Below are 18,677 nucleotides of genomic sequence, written 5' to 3' on the forward strand. Positions count from 1 at the left end.
GAAGTTAACATAGTTCATTTTAAAACCTGGGTCATTCCTGCTCCTATTTATCTTCTCAAATATTCAGAAGATGTTAAAAAGTAACCAGGTTTTTGGAAGATAGCTATTTTGTTTCTTATTTTTATTGTGTTAATATAGATCCATTAGAGTACCAGAGTAATTCAGCATTTGGTTTAAAAGTCTTGGCTTTACTTATATTGAGAGATTCATTAGCAGAAAATTACTTATTGATAGTGTCTTATCCTCTTCAAAATCGGAATTAACAAAATGATTCTTTTATTTCTCTCACAGTGATTTTTTAAAATAGATTTTATTTTTTAGAGCAGGTTTAGATTCACAGCAAAATTGAGAGGAAGGTACAGAGATGTTCCATATATCCCCTGCCCCCACATATCTGCAGCCTCTCCCATGATCAGTATCCCCCATCAGAATGGTACATTTGTTACAACTGATGAACCTACGTTGACACATCATTATCAATCACCCAGAGAATGTAGTTTACATTAAAGTTGACTTTTGGTATGGTATTTTCTATGGATTTTGACAAATGAATAATGACATGTATCCACCATTATTGTATCATACAGAGTAATTTCACTGCCCTTAAAATCTTTGCCCTGCTTATTCATCCCAAACTCTTAGCATCCACTGATGTTTTGATTGTCTCCACTGTTTTATATTTCCCCAGATATCAGATAGTGGGAGTCATATAATTTGTAGCTTTTTTGGATGGGTTCCTTTCACTTAGTAATATGCACTTAAGTTTCCTCTATATCTTTTCGCGTCTTGATGGCCCATTTTTTAGTGCTGAATAATATTTCATTGTCAGAATGTACAACAGTTTATCCATTCACTTACTGAAGGACATCTTGGTTGTTTCTAAGTTTTGGCAATTATGAATAAAGCTGCTTTAGGCCAGGTGTGTTGGCTCATGCCTGTAATCCCCGCACTTTGGGAGGCCAAGGTGGGTGGGTCGCTTGAGGTCAGGAGTTTGAGACCAGCCTGGCCAACATGGCAAAACCCTGTCTCTACTAAAAATACAAAAATTAGCTGGGCGTGGTGGCATGTGCCTGTATTCCCAGCTACTTAGGAGGCTGAGGCATGAGAATCACTTGAGTCCAGGAGGCGGAGGTTGCAGTGAGCCAAGATCGTGTCACTGCACTCCAGCCTTGGTGTCAGAGTGAGTCTCTGTCTCAAACAAAGAAAAAATGAATAAAGCTGCTATAAACATTGTGTGCAGTTTTTATATGGACATAAGTTGTCAACTCTTCTGGGAGGGCAAAAGGAAGGTAATTGCTAGATCTTTTGATAAGATATGTTTAGTTTCAGAGTATGTTCAGATTCTGTCAAACTGTCTTCCAAGTGACTGTATCATTTTGCATTTGTATCCACAATGAATGAGAGTTCCTGTTGCTCCGCATCCTTGCCAACATTTGGTGTTAGCAGTGTTCTGGATTTGGCCATTGTAAGAGGTTCGTAGTGGTATCTCATTGCTTTAATTTGCATTTTCCTGATGACATATGATGTGGAGCATATTTTTATATGCTTATTTACCGTTTGCATGTCTTCTTTGGAGAGGTGTCTGTCAAGGGCTTTACCCCATTTTTTAATCAGATTGTTTTCTTATTGTTGAGTTTTAATATTTCTTCATGTATTTTGGATTATAGATCTTTATCAGACATATCTTTTGCAAGTATTTTCTTTATTGCTTTTTATTTTCTTGACAATATCTTTTGCAGAGCAAAATTTTATAATTTTAATGAAATCCAGTTTATTGATTCTTGTGTTCATGGAGTGTGCCTTTTGTGTAATATCTAAAAAGTCATTGTCAAACCTAAGGGCATCTAGATTTTCTCCTATGTTATCTCCCAGGAGTTCTGTAGTTTTATGTTTTACATTGAGGTCTGAGCCATTTCGATCTAATTTTTGTCAAGAATGTAAGGTCTGTGTTTAGATTTGTTTTTTTAGCATGTGGATGTCCAGTTGTTCTACCACCGTTTTTTGAAGATGGTCTTTGTACCATCATATTGCTTTCGCTCCTTGGTCAAAGATCCGATGATTGTATTTTTGTGGGTCTATTTCTGGGCTCTTTGTTCTGTTCCATTGATCTGTTTGTCTGTTCTTTCATCAGTAGTACATTGTCTTGATTATTGTTGCTTTGCAGAAAGCCTTAAAGTTGAGTAGTGTCATCCTTCTGACTTTATTCTTCTCTTTTAATATTATGTTGGCTATTCTAGGTCTTTTGCCTTGCCATGTAAGCTTTCTAATCACTTTGTTGATATCCACAAAATAACTTGCTGGGATTTTGATAGGGATTGCATTGAATCTATAGATCAAGTTGGAAAGAACTGACATTTTTACAATATTGAGGCTTCCTATCCTAAATATGGAATATCTCTTCATTTATTTAGTTCTTTGATTTCATTCATTAGAGTTTTTTTAGTTTTTTAAAAAATTTTATTTTATTTTTGCTAGAACCATAGGCACACACCATCACAGTCTGCTAGTTCTTAAAACGTTTTTATAGAGATGAGGTCTCCCTTTGTTGCTCAGTCTGCTCTTGAACTTCTGAGTTCAAGTGATCCTCTCACCTTGGCCTCCCAAAGTTCTAGGATTACAGGCATGAGCCATCAAGCCTGGCTCTTGTAGTTTATTTTCTATAGATCATGTACCTATTTTGTTAGGGTTATTCCTTCATTTTGGGAGGTGCTAATGTAAATGGTATTGTTGTAAATTTCAAATTCCTCTTGTTCATTGCTGGTATTTGGAAAAGCAGTTGACTTTTATATATTAATTATGTATCCTGAAACCTTGCTAAATAGCTTATTTGTTTTAAGGTTTTTTTTTTTTTTGCCAATACTCTTGAGTGTTTTATGCAGACATTTATTTCATCTGCGAACAAAGACAGTTTTGTTTCTTCCTTCCCAATCAATATACCTATTATTTCTTTTTCTTGTCTTGTATTAACTAGGACAGGGTCCCCAACCCCTGGGCCATGAACTGGTACTGGTCTGTGGCTTGTTAGGAACCAGGCCGCATAGCAGGAGGTGAGCGGTGGGTGAGTGAGCCAAGCTTCATCTGTGTTTACAGCTGCTCCCCCTTGCTTGCATTACCACCTGAGCTCCGCCTCCTGTCAGATCAGGGGCAGCATTAGATTCTCACAGGAGCACGAACCCTATTGGGAACTGTGCATGTGAGGTATCCAGGTTGCCTGATGATCTGTCACTGTCTCCCATCACCCCCAGATGGGACCTTGTAGTTGCAAGAAAACAAGCTCAGGGCTCGCACTGATTTTATATTATGGTGAGTTGTGTAACTATTTCATTATATATTACAATGTAATAATAGAAATAAAGTGCACAATAAATGTAATGCGCTTGAATCATTCTGAAACCATCTCCCACCCAATCTGTGGAAAAATTACCTTTCCCTCGTGCCAAAACGGTTGGGGGCCACTGAACTAGGACATCCAGTATGATATTGAAAAGGAGTGGTGAGGGGACATTTTTGTCTTTGTTCGTGATTTTAGTGGGAAAGCTTCGAGTTTCTCACCGTTAAGTATGATGTTAGCTATAGATTTTTGTAGTCTTTTTAACTAGTTGAAGTTACTCTATATCTCGTTCACTGAGATCTTTTATCATGAATGGGTTTTGGATTTTGTCAAGTGTGTCTGTCAATAGATGCAGAAAAATCTATTGCTATGATTATGTGATTTTTCTTCTTTAGCCTGTTGATGTGATGAATTACATTAATTGATTTTCAAATGTTGAACCAGCCATGCAATCAGAGGTAAATCCCAGTTAGTCATGGTGTATAATTCTTTTTATACATTGTTATATTTGATTTTCTATGGATGATTTTATATCTATGTTCATGATAAATATTGGTCAATAGTTTTCTTGTGTTGTCTTTGTGTGGTTTTGGTATTAGGATAATGCTGACCTCAGAATGAGTTAGGAAGTATTTCCTCTTGATTCTAATTTCTGAAAAAGTTATGGAAAATTGTCATAATTAAAAAAAATATGGTAACATTCACCAGTGAACCAATCTGGGCCTGGTGCTTTCTGTTTTAGAATGTTGCTAATTATTGATTCAATTTATTTAATAGATATAGGCCTATTCACATCGTCTTTTTCTTCTTACATGAGTTTTGTAGATTGTTTTTCAAGATTTGGTTCATTTCATCTGGGTTATGAAATTTGTGATTTGTTAGATCAATCAGGGATAAGAAAATTAAAAAGTTATTTTACTTTTATTCTTTTATCAATCTTTTTTTCTTTTCTTTGTTTTTCATATTTTATTTTATTTTGTTTTTTGAGGTGGGGTCTTACTCTGTCACACAGGCTGGAGTGCATGGTCACAGCTCACTGCAGCCTCGACCTCCTAGGCACGGGTGATCCTCCTGAGTAACTGGGACTGTAGGCACTCACCACCACATGCAGCTAATTTTTCTATTTTTGGTAGAGAGGGGATTTTGCCATGTTGCCCAGGCTGGTCTTGAGCTCCTGGGCTCAAGTGATCTGTCTGCCTCTGCCTACCATAGTGCTAGGATTATAGGCATGAGCCACCTTGCCCTGCTTCTTTCTCTAGATCCAAATTTCTGACCTACATCATTTTTATCCTATGTAAAGGATTTTTTTTTTTAATTTCTTGCAAGGTAGATCTACTGGCAAAAAAATCTCTCAATTTTTGTTTGTTTGAGAAAGTATTTTTCCTTCACTTTTGAAGAATGATTTTGCGGGTTACAGAATTCTATGTTGTTGTTTTTTCTTTTTTTTTATCAACACTTTATTTTACTTTACCACTCGCTTGTATGGTTTCTAGCAGAAGTAAAATGTAATTCTTATCTTTGCTTCTGTCTAGCTAAGGGTTATTCCCCCCTCACCCCCCACCTCTGGCTTCTTTCAGGTTTTTTTCTTTATCTTTGACTTTCTGTAGTTTGCATATGTCATGCATAGGTATAGTTTTTTTGGTTTTTATCCTGCTTGGCATTCACAGTCTCCTGAATCTTTTGATTGGTATGTGGCATAAAGTTAGGGAAATTTTCAGTGATTACTGCTCTGTATATTTCTGCTGTTCCTTTATCTTCTACTTCCGCTTCTAGTATTCTATCACATGTATGTTACACCTTTTGTAATCATCTCATTGTTCTTGAATATTCTGTTGAGAGGTTTCTTTCGTTTTTTTTTTGTTTTTAGTCTTTTTTCTTTGTGCTTTTCAGTTTTGTACATTTCTATTGTGATATCTTCAAGCTCAGAGAGAGTCTTTGCTCAGCCATGTCTAGTCTACTAGTAAGCTTGTCTAAGTCATTCTTCATTTCCGTTAGTGTTTTTGATTTCTCTTATATGTTTTTTGTTCTGTTTTAGAATTTCTTTTTGTCTGTTTACATTGCCCTTCTTTTCTTACATGCTGTCCATTTTTTCCATTGGCACCCATAGCATGTTAATCATTGTTGTTTTAAATTCCCAGTCTGATAATTCCCACATTCTGCCATATCTGAGTCTGGTTCTGATTCTTGCTGTCTCTTCAAATTGTCTTTGATGCTTTTAGTACACCTTGCACTTTTTTCTTGCTATCTAGACACGAAGTACTGAGAAACAGAAACTGGTATAAATAGGTCTTCAGTGATGTGGTATTAAGGTGTTGGGGGAGAGGGAGTGTTCTGTAATCCACTGATTAGGTCTCAGTCCTTTAGTAAGCCTGTGCTTACTGTGATCCTCACAAGTTCTTCTTAGTCCTCTCCCCTTCAGGAGGGACTAGAAAGCTAGACTTGGCTGGAGCTGGGCATTTGTTTTCACCCAGGTCATTTAGGCTCTGGTGACACCCCAGCAGGTTAGGCTGTAGTTAACTAGTTTTTCCTGAGAGCAGACTTTAAGAACAGAGTACTCTGGTGAGTTTCCATATAGTTTCTTTTACCTTTCCCCTACTGGAAGCATGAGGGGATTTTGCTCCAGTATTCACTGTGAGAACCAGGTCAAGCTCCTGGAGGTAAAAATTCACGCAAGTATGGGGCCCCAGTGACTGAGTCATCCTGGAGTTTTTAACTTTACTCTAAAAGTTGTCCACACTGAGCCTCCAGCAATACATAAATTACAGTTTAGATTTTCCTACCCTAACACTCGTTCCCGTGGAGGTTTGTGGTTTTCTGCTCAGGCAAATTGTGATTTTTGGTATCTGCCAGTTGGTGTCTCCAATATTAGGGGCAGTGATTTGCCTGGTGACCTCAATTCTCTTACATATCTAAAAAGAATGATTTGTTAGTTTGTTTAGTTTTTTCACTTGTTGGTAGGATGGAATAGCAACTTCCAAGCTTCTCAGATGCTGAACTGGAAACCTGAAGTCCCCACAACCATTTTTAGGGGCAAAACTGTAATGTTCATTTCATGAGTATTATATATAATTTCCACCTAGAGGTAAATGGTGTTTTTGTTATTACTGGTTGTTACTTGTTAAAGGTTTATGTTGTGGTTTTCAAAGAAATTTCATGTATCTGTGCTCTAATTTTCTTTATGGAAAAATGGACCAAAAAAATAGAGAGGTATTTAATTGCAATGAATGGGTGCCATTTACCCCTCCCTGCAAAAAGAACATTTCAGAATCATTCAGAATTGAATGATAAGAAATTCTGTTTTTATTGTATAAGGCTTATGGTGGTCTTAGTGTTACAGAATAGCTAACTTTTTGAAATTTCATTGTTTGTTAATCCATGGATTTTTAAAATCATTTTGCCTCCCAATTATGAAAAATAACTTTCACATTGTAGACCATTTGGAAAATACAATTTAAAAGTCACCTGTATCTCCTTGTGTAATGGTTACCATAGTTAACATGCTAGCATATGACTTGCCAATCTTTTTTCTGTATTGGATTCTCTTTTACTTACATGAAATTATATCGTACATATTTTTGTATCCTACTTTTTAAAAAACACATGTGTTTAATGAGGTAATTTTTTAAATGGCTATGTAATATTTCATTTTATGGATATACTATAAGTTGTATATATTTTTTGGCTGAGTACTTAGATTTTATCCAATTTTTTATTCAGTAGTATAAATGTATTATAACTGTCAAATAAATGAACATCTTTGGGTGTAAGTCTTTACCTTCTTTTTTGGTATTGCATTTTAAAAAATGTAGATCTAGTTGATGAAGGTGGAATTTTCGGTCACAGAATGAGCATTTTACGAACTCCAGACATATTTTTCAACACTGTTCTCTAGAGAAGAGATATCCATTAGCCTTACTACCGCAGTGTGTGAGAATGAGGGAGACACACCCCTGCCACTTGTGCTTTTAGTATTTCCAATTTTAGTTTTGCTAATTTAATGGAGATTGGGATGACAGCTCATTGTTTTAATATATTTTCTTTGATTATAAACAAAATAGAATTTTTTTTATATTTTTTTGATTATTTACTATTTATATTGTCTTTATTATAGACTTCATGTTTTTCACGTATACTTATATGAGTTTCTTGTATATTAAGAATTAGCTATAAGGGAACTGTGGAAGTCAAGACTACTTTACCATGTTCATAAAAACTGATAAAAAATGAATATAACTTTCAGATCTTGAGAGCGGATTTTACAGATGTCATGTGAGTTCATTGAGTAATATTCTTATGTACCACTACTGACTGCTTGGGACTTTATTACTGTAAATAGGAAAAACAAAAAATTAAGATTCTGATATGCTAATTATTTTGCTTATATGGTGGTGAATATACTTTTAAAATGAAACATGTATTGCATGCAACAATACTATTTTGGTAGATTTTTAGAAAAGCAGGTATTATTACAGGTAATAGGCAATAATGACTTCGAAGGTCTTAGGGACTATGAGTAGGTAAACACTTTATGACCACGACCCCACAAACACCCCGCAGGAGATTATGTGGCTGCCATTTGTAAACGGCCATTCATTGTCCTGTCTCTTGCCTTTGGCTCTTTCCAGTTTTTCTTCCCAAATCTTTGGACTAGTTCCTGCAGAAAATATGAATTCACAGTGGTGCCCTCTGGGCCTGGGCATCTCTGGGCCGGCAGACCCTGAGCAGCGACTGCTGCTGAGAGCAGGTGTGTGTACAGATGGCATGGTGGGGCCAGCCTGCCTTCTGCTTGGTGATGTTGGAGAGGGTGATTGATAATAGAGCTTACACCGAGTAATGGTCTGAGGCAAGGCGAGCATGAGTGCCTGGCTAAGTGAAAGTCATCGCTGGCAGAGTGGATATGTACACTTAATTTAGTCTGTAGTTTTATTAAACTTCCTTATTAGAGGAGGCCTTATTTTCTTATTAACCAGAGGTCTCCATGCTGGCTGTTTCATCTTGTTGCCTCCTCTCTTACCGTGTATCCTCTCAGGGAGGTGAGGATAATTGAGAAAGGGCTAAAAACAGCTCTCCCGAGTTTGAGAAGGTTTTCAGTTGTCAATGCTTACATAATTTAGAGAGGACTCCAAAGCATTGTGAAAGAAAGCTCATTATGCGTCTCAGTCTCCTTCCTTGTCTTTTCTTGTAGTTGTCTCCATAGTGGGATGTACATATCCCTAGGCTAGATTTGGAGTTGGGTGAGAAGAAAATATTAAAAACTTCATTTTTATTTCATTCTTTTTTATTTCCCATTCTTTTTCATTTCTATTTTATATATGTTATGTAATATACACAACCAATTTTTCTACAGTAAAGTATGTATATAATTTATAAGCAAATATACATAAATTTGGTGGTATGCACAAAAGTTTTTAATTTTTAAGTTTTCGCAGTGTGCAGTTTAAAAATTTTGTAGAACTTTTGTCTTATAGGATTTGTTGTATAGGCATGGCAGCTTTTGCTTACCCTGAATACTAAGACATTTTGACATTTACATAAGATTACTATCTACCAATTGGAGTGTTTTTCTCCCCCCTCTGAGTAAATCAGGCTTAATAGAGTACATATGAAGGGCATAAAGTCAAGGGCAATTCTCACTATTTCTTTGCCAGGATTTTAAACTGAAGTTAAACATGTCAAAATGACTAAAGATTTAGAGATGATTGGTAGAGAAGTGTTCTCAGTTTGTTACTCAACCTCCAAGTTAATGTGGAATTTTATAACTGTTTTAGTCAGCTTTCTGTTGGGAGCTCCAAACATCATAAAATCTTGTGAATTCTGCCTACTACTAATCAATAAGTGAAATGATAGTAATTATCTCTGGTTTTCTTCATTTTTATATGCTTTGACAATAATGTTTAAAACCATTCTGGGCTTTGATTTGGGATTCCACAGAATTTTCTTCTGGGTCACAGAGGGGGTTAATTATTTCTAGAACTCTGAAATTTTGTGATTCTTGTGGTTCAAAATCACAAAAACCAAAGTGAAATCATGGTAGAAAGCTTGATGGTGGGGAATATCAGCTATGGAAAGTAACAGTAATTATCAGTTTTGTACTTTTTTTCTGGAAAATATTATCTTTTGAGGCTTCATTTAATATTTTTCTTTATCAGCCCAGAACATTAAAAAAAAACCCTAACCTACTGGAAAAATTTGGTAAGCCAGTGCTTTGAGTGGTCACAATGTAGAGAAAATGAGCATTGTCATGTAGTAAAGTTAAAAGACAGTTGTGGCCGGGTGCGGTGGCTCACACTTGTAATCCCAGCACTTTGGGAGGCCGAGGTGGGTGGATCACGACGTGAGGAGATCGAGACCATCCTGGCTAACACGGTGAAACCCAATCTCTACTAAAAAAAAATACAAAAAATTAGCCGGGCATGGTGGCAGGTGCCAATAGTCCCAGCTACTCGGGAGGCTGAGGCAGGAGAATGGCGTGAACCTGGGAGGCAGAGCTTGCAGTGAGCCGAGGTTGCGCCACTGCACTCCAGCCTGGGCAACAAAGCGAGACTCTGTCTCAAAAAAAAAAAAAAAAAAAAAAAAAAAAGACAGTTGGGGCTTGCACATGAGTAAGGGACAGGATCTCAGCTCTCTCTGTGGTGGGTGGTTCTTCACAGTCTAAGAAGGCCTCTCACTTTTTTCTTCCATCTTTGTTTCCTTTTCAAATATTTAATGTGTAGAAATTTTTATTGCCCTTTCTGCTTAGTCAGAAATACTAACCATTGTTGAAACTTGTAACCATTTCTGATAATTTGCCCAGTTGAAATAAGATAATTCTTTTATTCAATTCCAGGACTCTGAAATCCTCTGAGACCAAACTTATAGAACTGTCAGTTGTCTGGACTTTTTGTGTGCATTTTATCAAGAGGGAGAAGAACAGTTACTTTCTCCCTTCCCTCAAAACAGGGCAAATGACAGAATTCTATTTCCAGATAGATATGTTTCTTTCAGGGACAAATGTCCTATATTTAGTTCTTTTTAGTTAATATACTTTATATTAGCCAATGCCTAGCACTGCACACAGCAGCAGCCTTGCTTTCTCGCCTATGGCTTTCTGAAAGTTGAGACCACAGAAATACTTTTGCCTTTCCTTGTCATGTCTTATCCACTTAATGAGAATAACTGAAGTAATACTAAAAGCTTTCATAAGACCTGGTTAAACTTGACCTTGAGATTGCTTCACTCAGAAAAGTTCTTAGTTTAATTAACAAGTAACTGATAGGAGTCATGCTTGGCATGGGTCTTCTTGAGAACTTGCCAGCTACTTTTTTTTTTTTTTTAAGACAAGATCTCTCTGTGTCACCCAAGCTGGAGTGCAGTGACATGATCATGGCTCACTGCAACCTCGATCTCCCAGGCTCAGAGGATCCTCCCACTTCAGCCTCCCGAGGAGCTGGGACCACTGGCACACACTAACACACCCGGCTAACTTTGTGTGTGTGTGTGTGTGTATGTGTGTGTGTGTGTGTGTGTGTGTGTGTGTATGTAGGTGGTTGGTATAGAAGTGTTCTCAGTTTGTTACTTAACCTCCAAGTTTATGTGGAGTTTTATAACTATCTTTATAAACAAACAAACAAACAAACAAACAAGCAAACAAACAAACGTATTTTTTGTAGAGACAGGGTTTCACTATGTTGCCCAGGCTGGATCTCAAACTCCTGGGCTCAAGCAGTCCTCCTGCCTCGGCCTCCCAAAGTGCTGAGATTACAGGCATGAGCCACTGTGCCTGGCCCCTGCCAGTTACTTTTATTAAAGTCACAGTGTTCTACTCTGGATCTAGGGAGACCCCCTTTGGTTCCACAGAAGGAGAAGAATGGGCATCTCTACCTGTGCATCAGGATGTCATTTTTTTGAGTTGCGTAGAGAAGGTTCTACTCCCACAGCTTGCATATTGTCCATGTCTGTATTAATCTTGTTATGAGGCATCAACTCAGCATGGGTAATAGGTAGTTACATTAATGCCAGGGCTCAAGGAGTCCCACCCATTTCTTTCACCAAATAGCCCACGAAAGTGATGAGAGATAGGATGACCACATATATACCGTAAACACCAGAATGAAGGCCTTTGTCACTGCTTTCCCCCTCAGTGAAAAAGTAGGAAATGTTTTTAAGTCCCTGCTGTTGTTTGAATATTTGATTCTCCAAACCTCATGTTGAAATTTGGTTCCTAATGTTGGAGGAGGGGCCAAATGGAGGTGTTTGGGTCATGGTCAGTAGCTCCCTACAGTCCTCACAGTAATGAGTGGGTTCTTGCTGTCTTAGTTCTGGAGAGAGCTAGTGGTTAAAAACAGCCTGGTACCCCCACATCTCTCTTGCCCTGTGACCCCTGCACACACTGACTCCCCTTCCCCTTCCACCATGAGTGCAGATTCTGGTGCCATGGGCCTTGTACAGCCTGCAGAACTATGAACCAAACAAACCTCTTTTCTTTATAAACTACCCACATTCAACTATTCCTTTATAGTGACACAGACTGACTGAGACAGTCCCTATTTAATGCAGTGCTGCTGCTTTTCCAGCCAGCAATTCTGAAAGATGTAGATCTAGTATACATATTTTAAGACTGTGTTTTTCTGGGAAAAACAAGTTGTCTATGGCCTTATGAACTGGATTTTCTCATGCTTCTAAACAAACTTTAGCGCTGATGGGAGTATCCAGAATTATTTCCTAAAAAATATCTAGGGCTTTTGGTCCATCAGCCACTGATAGTTTATTATTTGTTGGATGTCTGCCATATGTAGCCTCTCTTTTTGTTACACTCAGGGGAAGGTCTCACCATCAAAATCATTCTTTAGGACTGCTTAGGTTAGAGATCCAGCTAGATGCTCTGGATGGACATCATTTTCTCATATCATTTTATCTTTTAGAGAAATACACATCATTTTCTCCAGATATCAAGTTATAACAGGAAGAAGTGATATTTATACATTACTAGAGAGCTTCTGCTTGTTCATGTCTGGTAATTCATTTGCACCACTAGTTTCTTCATGCTTGGCATGGATCTGTTCCTGCTACTTCCATCATTCTTTTGTTTTATTCCTTTTTTTCTTTGGCCAGGCAGATATACTCTGGATTGTCAGCCATTCTGCAGAATGTTGAAGGCAGCCATTCTGGTTTTTATTGATTTTTTTGTTAATTGTAGTAAAATATACATAATATAAAATTTAACATTTTATCCATTTTTACCATTTAATCATTATTTAAGCGTATAGTTCAGTGTCAATAAGTATATTCACATTGTTATGTAACCATTACCATGATTTGTCTGCAGAGTTTTTTCATTATCCAAACTAAAACTCTGTACCCATGAAACAGTAACTCCCCATTCCTCCTTTCTTCCAATCCCTGGTAACGACGATTCTACTTTCTGCCTCTCTGAATTTGACTGTTCCAGATTCCTTTATATCAGTCGCCTTTCTATTTCACTGATATTTAAAAAATAGATTTGTAAAAGCCATTGCCACATTTCTTGAATGCATGGCTTAAGTTACCAGTTACATTTGCATTTCTTCTCTTAGCTGTTGTCCCAAAGGCATTCCACATTGGCCTGCTAGGCATAGGAGAGCAAAGCATGGGGAGACCCCAGAAATATGAGCCCTCATCCTTTTAATAAAGACTGATTTTAAGAAGTCGTCTAAAAACCAAGTCAACTTTCCCACCACATTTTTATATTGCTCAGTGGCAGTTACCAAATAGAATTTCGTGTTACTGGGCACTCCTAAGGTTCCAGGGCTCCAGAGCTTTTAGGGTTAGACTGTGAACTTTTGAAGAAATTAGGTAGCTAAGAGCACCTGAAAATATTTAGTGAAGGAAATGAAATCCATTCTTTAGAAAAAAATTAGAAGTTAGCCTAACAGTTAGCAAAGACAATTTCCTTTGGTTGTGTAAAACTAGAATACAGACTTTTTATTTTGAATTTCTTTTTATCTCTGTCCATGGGTTTATGCTTGGATTTGCAACAAACAACAACAAAAAACTGTTTGTATTTTTAATAGCTTTTAAAAAGTATTTTAACAAAAATATTTAAAATTTTACCAGGTATTGCTAAAAATTAATTCTTTGTAAGTTGTGTTAAATTGGAAGGTAGTATGGTAGAATAAGAATCACAGCTTGTAATTATATAGAATTTGAAGTAAAGCTGAGTAAATCTTTCATTAACTTTTTACAAGTAGCCTATGACCCTGTTTGCTGCTCATTTCTTTCCAGCTTTCCCCAGTTAGGACTTGATGCAAACAGTATGTGTTGAAGAATGTTTTGTATGACGTGTTCGGTAGTCATTTTTCATCATGTTCACTTGTAATGAATTTCAGCATTTTCCACATTGGCTCACGAAGATTAAAAAAAATCCTATGTGTTGCTTTACCACATACTTCACTACTGAGTGATAATCTGACCTTTGGGAGCATTGCTGGTCACTATATAGAATGATATTTCCTTGTTCTATTTCATTCAAAATGAAAAAAATCATTAGAGAGATGCAAAAGGAAGAAAATTGGCTGTTCTTTTCTAGGGCTGGATGTACTGGAAACTACAAGATGTCATGCAAAAACTAGTGTGAAGATCCTGTAAAACATGACTGAAATAAACTGATTTTTTAAAACAAACTTTATTGAGATGAGCAAACCATTAGTATTTCTAGGTAAAATGGTTTCAAATTAAAAAATGCATAGAGCATCATTGTTGGAAAATAATGGCTTCTTAAAGTTTTGGTTTCTGCTTTTGGTGAGATGTTTGAAATGTCAAGGAAATTGTATCTCCTACTAGTTAAGATTTTATCTGTTTTTGAAAGATAATGTGATAATAATGTGATAATTTAGATCAAAAGAGAAGGCCACTTTTTTTGGGAACATATACATTGTATAATTTAAGCAAAAACTTAATTAAGAAAAAAATCATTGGTGGACTTGATTTTTTCAGGACTCTGGTTCTTGATTATTTTTGAGGTACAGACCATTTTAATAATCTGATAAAAGCCATATACATCCTGTCCACCAAAAGGAAGCACATTCATAAACATGGCAAAAGTTTTCATACCGTTTCAATTGGATTTCTGGAAGGCCACCCATGGATGCAAAATTAGAAAATGTTTCTGTAGGGACTGTCATGAAATGACATAGGTAACTTTTGTCATTCATAATGGTTAGTTTCTGCCAAACAAGTTTCAGACGAGTGAGCTACTTTTCTACAAGACTCAGGCCCCATTCTGCTACACAAAGATGCCTAGTAATCATTGCTATCTCCTGGTATGGGTTTCTGATGAGAGTGTCCTGGGCTTTGTCTTTTTGACTGAAGTAATTGATTGCCCCTAGATCTGAAGTTTGAGTTACGTGCATCTCATTCTTTATGCACAAGTATTTTAAAGTAACTACAGACATTGTAACAGGAGATAATTTATATGCTTTATATCAGTGAGGCACCTTGTTTTATACGCAAATCCTTTTAATTATTTTCCTACCAATGGTGGGTTTTAGTCAGTTTTGTGATGTTCCAATGTATTCACATTGACTTTGTCTTATGGTAAGGTTTCCTGTGTATTGCAGTGTGTCTGTCTGTAACATAGTGGCTAGTCAATGAATTTTGGTTGAATGAACATTCAAAATCCCCACTGAACAAAATTTTAGACAACGTTTTGATTTTAGAATAATCTTCAACTTACAGAAAAGTTGCAAAAAAGTTGCAAAGAAACCTCTTACCCAGTTTCTCACTGTTGTTAAATAACATCCTACATTATTATGCTACATTTCTCACAACCAAGAAATTAACATTGGTACATTCCCGTTAACTCAATGCCACATTTTATTCAGATTTCACTAGTTTTCCCCTAAAGTCCTTTTTCTGTTCCAGTATTTCATCCAGGGTACTATGTTGCGCTTATCATGTCTTAGTCTTCTCTAGTCTGTGACAGTTTCTCAGATTATCTTTGTTTTTGATCCTTGGCAGTTTTGGGCTGGTCAGCTGTTTTGTAGAATGCCCCTCAGTTTGGGTTTGTTTGATAATTTTCTCATGTTGAGAGTTATGGACTTTTGGGGGAAGGCCACGGTGGTGAAGTGCCATTCTCATCACAGCATATCAGGGATACCTACTAAACAACTTTATTTTTAATATTTCAGTATCACAATGGAGAGACGGGAAGAGTAAGAAGGTAAAATTTAAAGGAGTCAGTCTTGTCATGGTAAAAATTGTGGTAAAGATAAGGTGAGGGAACTGAATCTAAAAGAATCATTTATATTTATCTGGGGGAATTCAGCCCTTGGTGTTCCTGTCAGTGACTCACTTTGGGTGTTTAAGAGTTGGTAGAATTTATTCTATTTAAATGATACAAATCAGACCAATGAAAAGGTCAGTGGTTCATAGATACACATCAAGGCAGAATTTACAATGATAAGTTTTAAAAACTCTCTTGTATAACCATTTTTTTAAAGTCAGAAAATTCTTAATTGTATTTTTCCCCTTTTCCTCTGTTTCTATATATTTTTCTTGACCTGTGTTCTTTTGCATTAGGATTTATGTTTTTCAAGTCCAGTTAAGGATATTGAGCAATATGTCAAAACATTTGTCACCTGAATGGTTTATCCCTTAATAAATGGCGAGGTGGTTTTGCAGACAGGTGACACACTTTAATGTATTACAGAGACCAGACTTGTTAGTTATTGATTCGTGATGAATAAATTACTGCCATTCTAATCATAAGAAAATTTCTTTTGGGGATAATTAATCAGATTCATGTGCTTCTTAAGCAGTGTAGCATTATCATCTTTTTTAGTTACAAGAATGAACCTGTCTGCCTCTGCCCTTGGTAAATTTAGGGCAGAGGCAGACAGGTTTCTAGGTTTGTATTTTGATCTTTATTTTTATTAAGCAGATGAGAAGCATACTCGCTTAAAAATTACTTCAAACTGCCTTTCCTGTTGAGTAGGTTTTGAACTACCTGCTTGACAGATGGTGTTAGAAGTAATTACTGAAATCATGTGTTTACCTGCTCATGGACATGTGTTCACCAGATGCACCCTGTTTACCCAGGGCTGCTGATTTCTTAAAGAAATATGCACCTTCTGGATAGAGTTGCATAACTTAGGAGAATAAAAGCTCGTCAAGCCGGAGCTCTCAATCTCTGCATGGCAGAATCAGCTGTAGCGAGAAGACCATTTACATTTCTTAATGAGTGGTCAATTTAGATCACAGAACCATGTACAGCATTATTTACCTTTCTTCTTTTGATTTACTTAGTAGTTTAATTTTACCTGTCTACTGAGTTATTTAACAGATAGCCTCCCAAATTGTTGACTAAATTGTAGCAGTAGTGACTAACCAGTCTTTTAAGATGATGGTGTTTTGGTTTATTATGTTATTTTTGAAAACATGTTTTTCAGAAGACATATTAAAAATGTACCCATCCCTCCCCGTTTCTAAATTCTGATTGTGGAGGTCCGGCTTTTGGATTAGGCATTTTTTTTTTTTAACACCTCATGAGTAATTCTTATGTTCATTAAGATGGAGAGTAGTTACTTTAATATTTTATTTACTAACTATCAAAACTGAATTTATTTTTTCCACCTTGCTTCTGTTTTATTCTGTTTTTTAAAAAGTTAAACTGATGAGCCAGGCATGGTGGCACATGCCTGTAATCCCAGCTACTCAGGAGGCTGAGGCAGGAGAATCACTTGAACCTGGGAGCCGGAGGTTGCGGTGAGCTGAGATTGCACCATTGCACTCCAGCCTGGGCAACAAGAGTGAAACTCCATCTCAAAAAAAAAAAAAAAAATAAATAAAAGTTAAACTGAATGATAGTGACTCCCCTAACATGTGTGCCTTAAATGTTCAATTTTGAAAAGGAGTACATTTAACTCTCTATAAACCTAGAGAAACAAGGAAAGTCATTGTTTCAGGATTTTGACAGGTGCAAAACTGTAAATAATTACAGGCCTGGGCAGAAACTAGAACAGAAGTTGCACAGCAGCTGGCAGGCCTGACCTGTGACAGGTCTGACCTGAGTTAAGTAGCCTAAATTTCATGGCAAGCTCAGATTTGTTTTATGGTATGAAATTCACCTTCTGCTACAGAAAGATTCTACTGATTGAGGCTAGATATTTGCCAAAAAGGGAGTAACATACAGAATATTGAGAAAGAAAACTGCCCACTGAGCCACCTCTTGTATGACTTCAGGACCAGATGGAACTAGTGTAGATGCATTTTAAAATCAATTTACATTTGGACTGAAATAAATCACTCAACACCAAATGGTATACAGTGGTTATAGCTGAGGAGGGTGGTCTGGAGGTTTTTGGGTTTTTTTTTTTTTTTACACTTTTTATGTAATCTGTTTCTAAAACATTTTAATTTTTAGACTTAGGAGCATATCTGACTTTAGTGAAGAGGAAAGCAGTTTTAATTTAATATCTTGCGAATACCTGAATTGTATTTTTCAAGGTCTTTGTAGAGAATAATACAAAATTTCGATGAGATTTTATCACCTTCAGGTTCCATTAAGCAGTTCTCCACCTTAGGACACCAGATTTGTTCCTGGTCCATAAAGAAGCCGGCTAGCAGCTTCCATCCCCACATGCTGTGTTGCGACCCTGGAAAGCTGCAGTTTAGAAAGGATAGGGTTCTGATGACTTATGGGCTCAATCTCACCTATACATGAAGTTGTTTTTTTTTTTTTTTTTGGCTTGCCCAGTGTCTTGAAAATTTGACAATTTCACATTTTAAAAAATCTGTGTTTCTAGCTTTCTTGGAAAAACCGATGAATGGCAGTGCTGGGCCTGCACTGTACTATTGCTGGAACCAAGTAGTAGCTCTCTGCTTTTAGACTCTCTGATTTGCTCCAGTCCTTATCATTCCCTGTTGTACTTTCATGTCTATTACCTTCCTGTAGATACATGAGTTAATGACCCCTCGAGTAGAGGATATGTGCCTCAGAAGTGGAGACATGCAGAGAGAAGACAGCTTTCAGGAGGATGCTTGTGGAACCTTTATACAGTTAGGCTTGGTGTGCCCATGTCTTCTGCCCCCTCCCACTCTGTCTAAGGTTTTTCCCTTTTTTTCTACGTAATACCTCAATTTTCCCCTTCACCATTAGGGAAATTATACCTACCAGAACTTTGAGTTATGTTCCCCCAGCCACCCTTAGTAAATATCCTATGTACCTGGTGTGTAGGAGTTTTGTGAATGTTTACTAGATCTTTAATCTACCCATTTGTATGTGTAGTTTAATCATCTAGTTTTTCTTCTTGTTTTTAGTAGAAATCAGCTTTCTTGAAGGATAAGAGATTGATTAGAAAAGGAATGGAGACATTTTTAAAGGTCTGGGCAG

At 36.8% G+C, this 18,677-nt stretch overlaps 1 protein-coding gene across 12 annotated transcripts in view, besides 1 other annotated feature; it reads left to right on the top strand.

Moving 5' to 3' along the window:
• CDKAL1 (CDKAL1 threonylcarbamoyladenosine tRNA methylthiotransferase) overlaps positions 1-18,677 on the top strand; it is a 697,948-nt gene that overhangs the window by 148,790 nt on the left and 530,481 nt on the right. The gene's annotated exons all lie outside the window — the stretch shown is intronic.
• Positions 2,795-3,296: an enhancer, noted in NCBI's record as "NANOG hESC enhancer chr6:20686272-20686773 (GRCh37/hg19 assembly coordinates)". NCBI's record gives its function as "activates a minimal SCP1, AML or CMV promoter by ChIP-STARR-seq in primed H9 embryonic stem cells {active_cell/tissue: H9 hESC(primed)}" and the evidence as "EXISTENCE:reporter gene assay evidence [ECO:0000049][PMID:30033119]".

This window comes from Homo sapiens, chromosome 6 (assembly GCF_000001405.40).
Source record: "Homo sapiens chromosome 6, GRCh38.p14 Primary Assembly".
Classification (NCBI taxonomy): domain Eukaryota; kingdom Metazoa; phylum Chordata; class Mammalia; order Primates; family Hominidae; genus Homo; species Homo sapiens.